The sequence below is a fragment of the Homo sapiens genome, chromosome 17, assembly GCF_000001405.40.
Source record: "Homo sapiens chromosome 17, GRCh38.p14 Primary Assembly".
NCBI lineage: Eukaryota > Metazoa > Chordata > Mammalia > Primates > Hominidae > Homo > Homo sapiens.
In genome coordinates, this window is record NC_000017.11 from 16,180,831 (window position 1) to 16,193,980 (window position 13,150).

The following is a 13,150-nucleotide window of genomic DNA, read 5'->3' on the forward strand; positions in this document are numbered from 1 at the left end:
CAACCTAGATGCCCACTGACAGATGAATGGATTAAGAAAATGTGCAGGCCAGGCACAGTGGCTCACTCCTGTAATCCCAGCACTTTGGGAGGCTGAGGTGGGCGGATTACTTGAGGTCTGGAGTTCAAGACCAGCCTGGCCAACATGGCGAAACCCTGTCTCTACTAAAAATACAAAAAGTAGCTGGGCATGGTGGCACACGCCTGTAGTCCCAGCTACTCCAGAGGCTGAGGCAGGAGAACTGCTTGAACCCAGGAGGTGGAGGTTGCAGTGAACCAAGGTTGTGCCATTGCACTCCAGCTTGGGTGACAGAGTGAGACTCTGTCTAAAAAAAAAAGAAAGAAAGAAAATGTGATGTGTGTGTGTATACATATATATGTATGTGTGTGTGTGTGTGTGTGTGTGTGTGTGTGTGTGTGTGTGTATAAATATTATTCAACTTTAAAAAAGAAAAAAATCCTTTCATACCATAACATGGATGGACCATGCTGAAACCACGCTGAAATAAGCCAGGCACAAAAATAAAAATATTGCATGATCTCCCCTATATATGGAATATTAAAAAAAAAAAAAGCACTCAAATACACAGGGATAGAGAATGAAACAGTGGTTCACTGGTTGGGGATAGAGAAATAAGGAGATGGAGGTCAAAGGATACAAAATAGCAGATGTGTGGGATGAACAAGTCTAGAGATCTAATGTATAACATGAGGACTAAAGTTAATACAATTGTATTATATTAGGGATTTTTGCTAAATGGGTAGATTTTAGCTATTCGTCACCAAAACAAAGTATGTGAGATGACAGATATGTTCACTGGCTAAACTATGTGTATCCCATAACACCATGTAAACCTCAAATATACATAATAAAATTTATTTTAATATGTAAATGTAAAAATCATTCTTAACTTGAGGGCTCTACAAAAACAGGACAGACAGGATATGGTCAGTACCAACTAGCCTTAGTTTGGCAACCTCTGTCCTAGATAATAAAAAAAGTGAAAAACAGCAAACAAATAAAACTAAACCTCTAGTGCTACAAAAGAACAATTTGAAATGATCATGTCAATACTGAAAAAAGAGAATGGCAAAAGTATGGGTAACAAACTTTTTTTTTTCCAAACCAAGTGGTTTCTAATTCTTTACTTTTGTATCAAAGGAGAAACTATTTTTTAGCTGAAAGATCAAAAAAAATAATTTTAGATATCAGATCACTGTGATTGTTGGTCTAGAAATTGGAAGGCACTCAGAGAATTAAGCAAAATTGCAGCTACAAAATTTATTCCATTTCTACCTGCTTAGATGAACAATATTCATAGTCTATAAAAAATAAAAATTGGAATAGTATTCACATAGAAGCCTGCCTGTTTCCAGTAATTAGTACTCAAAAATTACAATAATTGGGGGAAGGGAAACCAGTCCTTTCTTATTAAAAGGTATGTTTTCAGTAAGATTTTACTTTTTGCTTTTAAGAATAATGTAATAAAATGTATACATATATTTATGCTTTTTTGTTCAATGATCTACTACTACTAATTGTCATAACTTAATCCAGAGTAAAACTTTTAAACACTCAGGGCCTAAAATCACAGAAAACTTAAATAAATTTATTTTATTTTACTTATTTATTTTTTTTGTTTGAGACGGAGTCTCGCTCTGTCACCCAGGATGGAGTCCAGTGGCACAATCTTGGCTCACTGCAAGCTCCGCCTCCCGGGTTCATGCCATTCTCCTGCCTCAGCCTCCAGAGTAGCTGGGACTATAGGTGCCCACCACCACGCCCGGCTAATGTTTTGTATTTTTAGTAGATGAGGTTTCACCGTGTTAGCCAGGATGGTCTCAATCTCCTGACCTCGTGATCCGTCCACCTTGGCCTCCCAAAGTGCTGGGATTACAGGTGTGAGCCACAGTGCCCGGCCCAAAATTTCTATATGTATTTGTAGTAGAAATATATGAAAGTGATCAGTAAAATGCTATTAAGAATAAACATATTAGCAAAAAATTTTTACTGGAGAAGAAAAGAAATAAAAATTCAAGGAGAAAAAAAGGACAATATAAAGTTTCCTACTGGTAAAAAGAAGAGAAGTAAAAACAAAAACAAAACACGTCATCTTAACTGATGCAGAAAAAGCATTCAAAAAGTCCAAAATCTTTTCTTGACTTAAAAAACTCAACAGTTTAGGAAAAGAAGGAAAGTTCCTTAACATAATAAAGGCCATTTGTGAAAATTCCACAACTAACATCATAATCAATAGGGAAATACTGAAAGATTTTCCACTAAGATACCATGAAAGGTAAGGATCGGATCCTTTTCCCATCTAGTACTATGTTGATTAGAAGCAGTGGCAAACACTTCTAATCAACATAGTACTAGAAGTACTAGCAAGAGCAATCAAACAAAAAAAAAAAAAAAGAAAAGAAAAAAAAGAAAAGAAATAAAAGGCATCCAGTCAGAAAGGAAAAAGTAAAAATATCTTTATTTGCAGATGACACAATCCTATGTATAAAAGTTCCCCAAGATTCTACACATTAAAAAAAAAAACTGTTAGAATAAATGAATCCAGTAAAGTTGCAGGATACAAAATCAACAGCAGTTTTATATACAAGTAACAACCTAACTGAAAAAGAAATCAAGGAAACAATTTATGACAGAGTTCTAAAAGACATTTAAATAAATTTACTTGGTTAAATAAATTTAACCAAGGAGGTGAAAGATCTGTATATTGAAAACTATAAAACACTGATTAAAAAACTGAAGACACAAATAAATGAAGAGATATCCTGTGCTCATGGATCAAAAGAATGTTGCAAAAATGTCCACACAACCCAAAGAAATATACAGTACAGATTCAACACAATTCTTATTAAAATCCCAATGGGGTTTTTCACAGAAATAGAAAAAACAACCCTAAAATTCACATGGAAGTATAAAAGACCCCCAATAGCAAAATCAATTCTGAAAAAGAAAAACAAAGAGACATCACACTTCCTGATTTAAAATTGTACTACCAAGTTACAGTAATCAAAACAATATGGTATTGGCATAAAAATAGACACACTGATCAGTAGAAAAGAATAGAAAGCCCAGAAATAAATCTAAACATATGGCCGCCTAACTTTTGACAAGGGAACCACAGCAACACAGTGGGGAAAGGGTAGTCTCTTCAATAATGCTGGGAAAACTAGATATCCAGATGCAAAGGAATGAAATTAGACCCTTGTTTTACAGCATATACAAAAATCAACTCAAAATGGATAAAATACTTAAATATAAGATCAGAAACTATAAAAGTCCTGCAAGAGAACGTAGGGAGAAAAGCTCTGGGACACCGACCTTGGCAATGATTTTTTGCATATCAAGAGGTCAGGCCACAAAAGCACAAATATATAAATGGGACTACATCAAACTAAAAAGCTTCTGAAAACAACAAAATGAGTCAGCAGCCTGTAGACACAGAAAACATATTTGTAAACTATGCATCTGCTAAGGAATTAATATCCAGAATTTATAAAGAACTCATAAAACTCAATAGCAGAAAAACAAATAACCTGATTTTAAAATGGGCAGAAGATCTGAATAGACATTTCTCAAAAGAAAACGTAAAAATCACCAACAGGTATATGAAAAGATGTTCAGTATCATTAGTCATCAGGGAACTGTATATTAAAAGCACTATGAGATATTCTCACACCCATTAGGATGCCTATTACCAAAAAAAGTCAAAAGATAACAAATATTAATGAGGGCATGAAGAAAAGAGAACTCTTGTACACTGCTGGTGGTAACGTAAATTAGTACAACCATTATGGAAAACAGTATGAAAGTTCCTAAAGCAATTAAAAATAGAACTACCACATGACCCCACAATCCTTCTTCTGGATATATACCCAAGGGAAATGAAATCACCATCTTGTAAAGGTAAATGCACTCCCATGTTATTGCAGCTAATTATTCACAATAGCCAAGATATAAAAACAATCTAAGTGTTTGTCAATGAATGAATCATAAAGAAACTGTGGTATATATACACTATGGAATATTATTCAACCCTAAAAAAAAATGAGATCTTGCCATCCACAACATGGATAAGCCTGAAGGACATTATGCTATGTGAAATAAACCTGACACAGAAAGTAAAATATTGCATGATTTCGCTTATATGTGGAATCTTAAACAAAAAAAAAAAAAAAAAAAAGGAACTATACAAAGAGAACAAAACAGTGCTAACAGTGGTTACCAGGGGCAGGGGGTGGAAAGAAAATGGGGAGACGAAAGTCAGAGGATGTAAAGTAGCAGACACATAGAATGAAAAAGTCTAGATTTCTTATGTACAACATGAGGACTACAGATAATAATATAGTGCTGTATCTGGGATTCATGATAAATGAGTAGATTTTAGTCGGTCCAGCCACAAAAGCAAAAATAAAAACAAAAGCAAAAATAAATAACTTTGTGAGATGATGGATATGCTAATTTGCTTCACCATAGTGACCTTTTTATTATCTATACGTATCCCATAACATCATGTTGTATGCCTTAAATACACACAATTTAAAAAAAAAAATTCTGGCGAGGTGCAGTGGCTCATGCCTATGATCCCAACACTTTGAGAGGCCAAAGCGGGCAGATCACTTGAGGCCCAGAATTCAAGACCAGCCTGGTCAACACGGCAAAACCCCATCTCTACTAAAAACACAAAAGTTAGCTGGGTGTGGTGTGTATGCCTGTAATCCCAGCTATTTAGGAGGCTGAGGCATGAGAATCACTTGAACCCTGGAGACGGAGGTTGCAGTGAGCTGAGATCATGCCACTGCACTCCAGCCTGGGTGACAAGAGTGAGACTCTTTCTCAAAAAAAAAAAAAAAAAAAAAAAAAAGAATTAACTATTTTGGGAGGTAGGGGTGGGTGGATCACTTGAGCTCAGGAGTTCAAGACTAGCCTGGGCAACATGGCGAAATCCTATCTCTACAAAAAATACAAAAAATTAGCCAGGACTGGGAGACTAAGGTGGGAGAATCACTTGAGCCCAGGAGGTTGAGGCTGCAATGAGCCATGATCATGCCACTGCACTCCAGCCTGGGCAACAGAGCTAGAAAGATCCTGTCTCCAAAAAACAAGAAAAAACAAACAAAACTTTCAGAATGAGAATGAAGTAAAAGAAAGCAGAGATGGTAAGGACACTCAGGAAAAAGAGAACCCACCATGCATGTACAGGACCTACATTATCTGACAGAATATTTACTATCAGTTGAGGACAATGCCACTATTATCTCCATTTTTATAGGAGGGAAAACTAAAGCTTGAAGAGTTGAGATCAGTGACTGGCAACCCTAGCTGCAAATCAGAATTACCGGAAAAACTTCGGCGATAAAATAAAGCCTGGGCCCAACTCCAGAGATTGATTTAAGTGTTTTGTGATGAGGCTTGGGCATCCCAAGGGGTTCTAATGTGCAGCCCAAGTCTATAGAACATAACCAAGGACACACAGGTGACCAGGTGGTTTACTGCCTTTCTACTAAATAATATTAATGCCAAACTATGGAAACAAGTTTTAAGAGCTTGTTAACTATTGCAACCAACCAACAAAAAAGAACTCAAAATGCAAACTATAAATGACCAGTCATGGCTTGGTTAATAAAAAGTAAAAAAATAAAATAATGACAAACTTGTATACTTCACAATTATAATCCTAGATAGAAACATAAAAGAAACCTCATTACCTGTCAGAACCTGGGTGAAATTCTGAAAGCAAGGAAGGTCGCCTTCGAAGCTGTTGCTGCTGCTGTTGCTGCAAAAGCTGTGATGCCTGACTCACTTCAAGATGAGAGGAACGATAATCAGGGACTGCGAACTCCTAGTATTAAAATAATCATAAATCAATTATTAACCAAAAACTGAACAACATCATGAAATCAAAGCAAGTATAAAGGTAGTTATGGGCCACTAAGTATGGAAAGAAAGAGCAATGACTATTTCAATCCTTCATTGATCTAATTCTTCCCCTTAAAATAATCAACATTTTAACTATATATCATTAAAAAAATCCAAAATGAAATTTCAAGTTTAATCTATATTGACTCATTCCTCTAATAACAAATTACAATAACTCCCAATCTGTATTACTCACATCAGTAAAATCTCAAACTCATGTGTTCAATATGAAATCCTAAAAAGCATTCCAATACTAAATTCATAATGAGTAAGCTGGAAGAAGGGTAATGGAAGTCTAATCAAATCCATCCACACTTACAATGAAGAAACTGAAGTACAGAGAATCAACCTGCTAGTTAAGAGTAGTAGTTTTTCCCATCAAAACTAGGTGAGTGTTTTTATGTTTGTTTTTGTACCTTTCCTTTGTTGGTTGTTGTTTTTTTTTTTTTGGCAAAAACTTCTTTTCCAAACAAATCTATTGTGCTAACTCAATCATAAACAGAAAAACACAGAATTACTAAATAAGCTAGGAACTCCAGTCCTAGGTATATACCCCAAAGAATTACAAGTATATAAAACCACACACAAAACCTAGTACACAATTTTTCATGGGTGCATTATTCACAACAGCCAAAAAATAAAAACAACCAAAATGTCCATCAACTAATGAACAAATAAACAAAATGTAGTATAACCATACAACTGAATATCATTCAGCCTTAAAAAAGGAGAGATGCTAGAACACAGACAAACATAGAAAACATTATACTAAGTTTAAAAAAAAAAAAAAAGGTCAGGCACAAAAGGCCACATATTATGATTCCATTTATATAAAATGTCTATAATAAGCAAATCCAGGCTGGGTGCTATGGCTCACATCTGTAATCCCAACACTTTGGGGAGGCCAAGGTGGGCAGACTGCTTGACCCCACAGATTCAAGACTAGTCTGGGCAACATAGTGAGACTTCATCTCTACAAAAAATAAATTTAAAAATTAGCCGGGCATTGTGGCACGTCCCGGCTACTCTGTAGGCTAAGGTGGGAGGCTTGCTTGAGCCCAAGAGTTAGAGGCTGCAGTGAGCTCTGATTGTGCCACTGCACTCCAGCCTGGGTGACAGAGCAAGACACCATCTTTAAAAAAAAAAAAAAAAGAAAGAAAAACGAAAAGGCAACAAATCCATAGAAACAGAAAATGAATTGGTGGTTGTCAAAAGATGGGGAGAAGAGGAGAATTGAAACTGCTATTAGTTATGGGGTTTCGTTGCAGGTGATGGAGATGTCCTGAAATCAGGTAGTGGTGATAGCTGCACAATATAATGAATATATTAAAAGCTGCTATATTATATACTTTAAAATGGTAAATTTTGTTATATGAATTCTGTGTCAACAAAAAGTTTTAAAAATCATAAACAGATAAAATTATGCTGTCCAGGATAAAACAGAGGGTAGATAAGCCATTGAGAGCCCTTCTCTATAAGTTATGAGTAAAAAATAACTCATAGTCTAAGAAGAAATCTCAGATATAAAGTTGAAAACATAAAAAAACCATTTAAAAAACTTTTTCAGCCTGGCACAGTGGCTCATGCCTGTAATCCCAGCACTTTGGGAGGCCAAAGCGGGCAGATCACAAGGTCAGGAGTTTGAGAACAGCCTGGCCAACACAGTGAAACCCCATCTCCACTAAAAACACAAAAAATTAGCTGGGCGTGGTGGCGTGCTCCTGTAATCCCAGCTACTCAGGAGGCTGAGGCAGGAGAATCACGTGAACCCAGGAGGGGGAGGGTGCAGTGAGCTGAGATCGTACCATTGCACTCTAGTCCAAGCAAAAGTGCAAGACTCCATCTCAAAAAAAAAAAATTTTTTTTTCAAAGGCACCAAAACAAAAAGGAATTTACATCCAAGGAAATAGGTAAAACAGTAAATAAAAGTAAAAAGGACCTAGAAAATATTAATAATAGCCTCAAAAAGAATCAAATAGGCCAGGTGCTATGGCTCACACTTGTAATCCCAGCACTTTGGGAGGCCAAGGCAGGCGGATCCCTTGAGGTCAGGATTTCGAGACCAGCCTGGCCAACATGGTGAAACCCCATCTCTACTAAAAATACAAAAACTAGCCAGGCATGGTGGCAGGCACATGTAATCCCAGCTACTCCAGAGGCTGAGGCAGTAGAATCGCTTGAACCTGGGAGGCGGAGTTTGCAGTGAGCCTAGACGAAGCCACTGCACTCCAGCCTAGGTGACAGAGCAAGACTCTGTCTCAAAAAAACAAAAAAAAATAGTCAGTCCTCATCACAAGGGTTTGTTAAAAATAAAAATAAAAAAAAATAACAACAGAATCAAATAGCAGGCCGGGCATGGTAGCTCACACCTGTAATCTTAGCACATTGGGAGGCCAAGGTGGGAGGGTTGCTTGAGGCCAGGAGCTTCACACAAACCTGGCCAACTTGGCGAAACCCCGTGTGTACTAAAATTACAAAAATTAGCCAGGCGTGGTGGCACATGTCTGTGGTCCCAGCTACTCAGGAGGCTGAGGCATGAGAATTGCTTGCACCCAGGAGGTGGAGGTTGCAATGAGCCAAGATTGTGCCACTGTACTTCAGCCTGGGCAACAGAGTGAGACTCTGTCTCAAAAAATAAAAAAAAAATTTATTAAAGAATCAAAGAAACTAAAAACTGAATCACTGAAGGTAAACAATAGTTGAACACACAGAAGTGAAAAGTAAATGAAAGCTAAGAGAGAACTGAGGAATTCTCTCAGTACCCAGTAAAGCACAAAGACATAGAAACCACAGGAAAAAAGTTAAAAATGGGAGCTACAGCAAAAAGTTCCAACATCCCATATCCACAGGCAAGAGACAGGATTCTGAAAAATAATAGAACAGCATTTCTCTGAAATTAGAAAAAACATAGTCTTCAGATTTAAAAGGGCTTAAGGAAAAAACTGGATGTATTTTTTAAATTAATCCATACTGGACACATGAAAATATTAAAAAAACAAGAATAAAGTGAAACTTTATTATAAGTTTGATGAAATAAAAAAGTTTCCTACAAAGTTAGAAGGATCATAATAAAAGCAGGCTTCTCATTAGCAACACTGAATAGAAGCAAACAGCAAATAATAGCATATTTCAAGTTCAGAGGAAAATAACGTTGAAGCTACAAATTGAATAACTAAGTCATCATTTGGCTGGGCATGCTGCTTCATGCCTATAATCCCAGCACTTTAGGAGGGCAAGGCAGGACAGCTTGAGGCCAGGGTTTTGATATCAGCCTGTGCAACACAGTGAGAGCCCATCTCTATAAAAAATGTAAAAATTAGCTGGGCATGGTGGTTCAAACCTATAGTCCCAGCTACTCATGAGGCTGAGGTGAGAGGATCACTTGAGCCCAGGAGCTCAAGGTTACAGTGAGCTATGACTGCGTCACTGCATTTCAGCCTGGGTGATAGAGTGAAACCTTGTCTCTAAAAATAAAATGAAATAAAAAATAAACCATCACTGAAGTTTTAAGGCTACTAACTTTTGAGAATTTAAGAACTCAAATAATATACCAACCACAGACGCTCTCTGAAAGAATTTCTTTTTTTTTTTGAGGAGTCTCGCTCTGTTGCCCAGGCTGGAGTGCAGCGGCACGATCTAGGCTCACTGCAAGCTCCGCCTCCCGGGTTCACGCCATTCTCCTGCCTCAGCCTCCCAAGCAGCTGGAACTACAGGCGCCCAACACCACACCCAGCTATTTTTTTTTTTTTTGTATTTTTAGTAGAGACGGAGTTTCACCGTGTTAGCCAAGATGATCTCGATCTCCTGACCTCATGATCTGCCCGCCTCAGCCTCCCAAAGTGCTGGGATTACAGGCATGAGCTACCACGCCCAGCCAACACTCCCTGAAAGAATTTCTAAAGGACGTACCCAGCAAGAAAAATTAAGAGTAAGGAGTGAAATAAAAGTAACAACAGTGTACTGCAGCTTCCAGGTATAAGCAGGTAACACTGCTCAGAATTACCTTCCCACAGTCAACAGCTAAAAAATTCAAAGAAATGTAGAAACTATTTTCAGAAACTGAATAATAGGCAGCAGAGGGCTTGATCGCTGAGAGAAATGAAGCAAATGAGGTAAGCCCTACCTACCATACTCTAGGCCCTCTGCCTAAAGGCAATTTCCAAACTGCAGCCATGGGAAGGGAACCTAAATCATGTCCCACAATCACAGTCGTTGAAGAAGCAACCGTACAAGGTTTGGATAAGCCATAGGAACTGAACTTCCAGAAGTTAGTTTCAAAGAGAAAGATTTCCTAAACTCTGAATTTGGGATCCCTTAAGCCTATGCCTGAATTCTAGTCTGTAAATGAATAAGGAGAAATATCACAGGCTGGGCTAAAAATAATTTCTGATGATAGAACAATTAGAAGCAACTATAAAGCAAACAATTCCCTGAGCTCACTCAGGGCAAGAACTCATTCAAATTTCTTCCAGCAAGAGTGAGGAAATCCCACTGAATACACGGGACATTCAACAGAAACCCTAGGAGACAAGCTTAGAAGTGGGGGATAAATTAGAATAAAGACCACTCTAGACCTGCCCTAACAGTTTAAAAACAAGCCTCAAAAGTAACTTAATTTCCTACCAGAAGGACTTCATCTCTCTTTACAGGAATATAACAAAGGCCAGCAGTAAAAAAAGTATGAAACTCACAATGTTCATATTCTCATCAAAAATGAAATCCATCTGCAATAAAAATGTCACTGGATAAAATTAACAACAGGTTGAAAAGTACAGAAGAAAGGATCACTGACTATGATACCATAGCAAAATGAAGCTAATGGATTTAAAAAAAATAAAATAAAAACAGGGAAAAAAAGTGAACAGAGGTCCAGTGAACTGTGGAATAACATGCAACATGAGTAATTGGAGTCCCAGACAGAAACTAGGGGAAAAGGAGACAGGAAAAAATATTTGAAAAAAACAATGGCCCCAAACTGCTCAAATTTTATGAAAATTGTAAATCCACAGAATCAGGAAGCTTGGTGAATGCCAGGGACAATAATGTATTCATTCAAAAAGCACAACAGCCAGGCGTCGTGACTCACACCTGTATTCCCATCTACTTGGGAGGCTGAGGCAAGAGGATCCCTTGAGCCCAATAGTTCTAGGCTACAGCTCTGGGCTATGCCAATCAGATGTCTACACTAAGTTCAGCATTTATATGATGACGTCCCAGAAGCAGGAGGACTACCAGGTTGCCTAAGGAGGGATGAACCCACCCAGGTTACAAAAAAAAAACAAAAAAAATGGAGCAGGTCACAACTCCTGTGCTGACCAGTAGTGGGAATGCACCTATGAAAACCACTGCACTCCAGCCTAGGCAACATAGCAAGGCACCATCTTCGTTTAAAAAAAAAAAAAAAACCCATACCCAAATTGCTGAAAATCAATGATAAAGAGAAAACTCTTAAAAAGTAACCAGAGGAGACCAGACACAGTGGCTCACACCTGAAAGCCCCACACTTTGGGACGCCGAGGCAGGCAGATCACTTGAGGCCAGGAGTTCGAGACCAGCCTGGCCAACATAGCGAAAACTTGTCCCTACTAAAAATACAAAAAATTAGCTGGGGCCGGGCACAGTGGCTCACGCCTGTAATCCCAGCGCTTTGGAAGGCCGAGGAGGGTGGATCACCTGAGGTCAGGAGTTCAAGACCAGCCTGTCCAACATGGTGAAACGCCATCTCTACTAAAAATACAAAAATTACCTGGGTGTGGCGGCACACGCCTGTAATTCCAGCTACTCGGGAGGCTGAGACAGGAGAATTGCTTGAACCCAGGAGGCAGAGGATGCAGTGAGCTCAGATGGCACCATAGCACTCCAGCCTGGGTGACAGAGCAAAACTCCATCTCAAAAAAAAAGTATATCGGACTTGATAAAAATAAAAAATGTACGCTCTCCAAAGGATGCTGTTAAGAAAATGAGGCAATACTTCCTTTAATAATTTACATACAACAAACATATAGATATATGTTTTCTAAGTAATTTTACTTATAATAATCAAAAACTGGAATAGGTGATTGGATAAACAAATTGTGGTATACCCATACTCAACAATAAAAAGGAATGAACTAAGACATGTCAGACATGGATAGATCACAGAAGTATTATGGGAAGCAAAAGAGGCCATAGACAGAATAGTTCCCATGAAGCTCAGAACGTATACAATGTATTATGATAGAAAGCAGATCAGTGGTTTCCTAGGAGCTGAGGTTAGTAGGAAGTCGGGGAGGAGGACTGACACGGGTGGGTGCCAAGGAGGATGGGGTGCCAAAGAACGTCCTAGAGTGTTAGAAATGTTGTTCATCTTCATTTTCATGATGGTTGTATGAGTTTATGACTTTGTCAAAATTTGTTACAATGTACACATATAATGAGTGCATTCTAATATAGATATATGTGTATATATATAAACTAAACTGCAAAGTTAATTTTGTTTTTTTTAAGATGGGGTTTCACTCTTGTTGCCCAGGCTGGAGTGCAACGGCGCAATTTTGGCTCACTGCAACCTCTGCCTCCCAGGTTCAAGCGATTCTCCAGCCTCAGCCTCCCGAGTGGCTAGGATTACAGATGCCTGCCACGATGCCTGGCTACTTTTTTCGTATTTTTAGTAGAGATGGGGTTTCACCATGTTGGCCAGGCTGGTCTCAAACTCCTGACCTCAAGTGATCCACCCACCTCAGCCTCCCAAAATGCTGGGATTACAGGCATGAGCCACCGCGCCCGGCCTGATTTTTTTAAAAAACCAGCAGCAACAATAATCCAGAAAATTGGTAATCGGATGAATAACACTGGGGTAGGGGGACAACACAAGCAAAATTCAACACCCAATCATGACAGAAATTCTCAAACTAGGAACAGAAAGCAACCTCTTCAACCAAAAAAGGCATCAACAAAAACGTGCAACTAACATTACATGTAATAATGGTGAAAGACTAAATGCCTCCCTACACAGGAACAACGTAAGAATGTCCATTCTAACTCTGTAATCATGACTGCACTTCAAAGGAGTCCTCAGGAGGACCCTGTAGTACATTCTGATGACAAATCTGCTTTCTTAGTCTCTGAGAGGACCGTTTTATCCCATCCTTTCCTATTTTTCTTTAAACCTCTTACACCCATAACCTTGGTCTACTCTGATATGATTATTTCACCTCATACTTTATTTTTCACAAGG

The 13,150-nt window shown here is 38.3% G+C and overlaps 1 protein-coding gene and 1 pseudogene across 53 annotated transcripts in view; one reads left to right on the forward strand and one right to left on the reverse strand.

Moving 5' to 3' along the window:
• The window catches only part of NCOR1 (nuclear receptor corepressor 1), a 186,378-nt gene that overhangs the window by 151,674 nt on the left and 21,554 nt on the right, over window positions 1–13,150 (reverse strand). For 52 of the 53 annotated variants that reach the window (NM_006311.4, XM_011524086.4, NM_001439115.1 and 49 more), the window contains one exon: window positions 5,724–5,857. The exons of the other annotated variant lie outside the window; for it this stretch is intronic. In NM_006311.4, coding sequence (NP_006302.2) covers window positions 5,724–5,857 — 134 coding nt within the window. The remainder of the gene's footprint in view (window positions 1–5,723; window positions 5,858–13,150) is intronic. 53 annotated transcript variants of the gene reach the window in all.
• On the forward strand, window positions 11,002–11,321 carry RN7SL442P (RNA, 7SL, cytoplasmic 442, pseudogene; annotated as a pseudogene).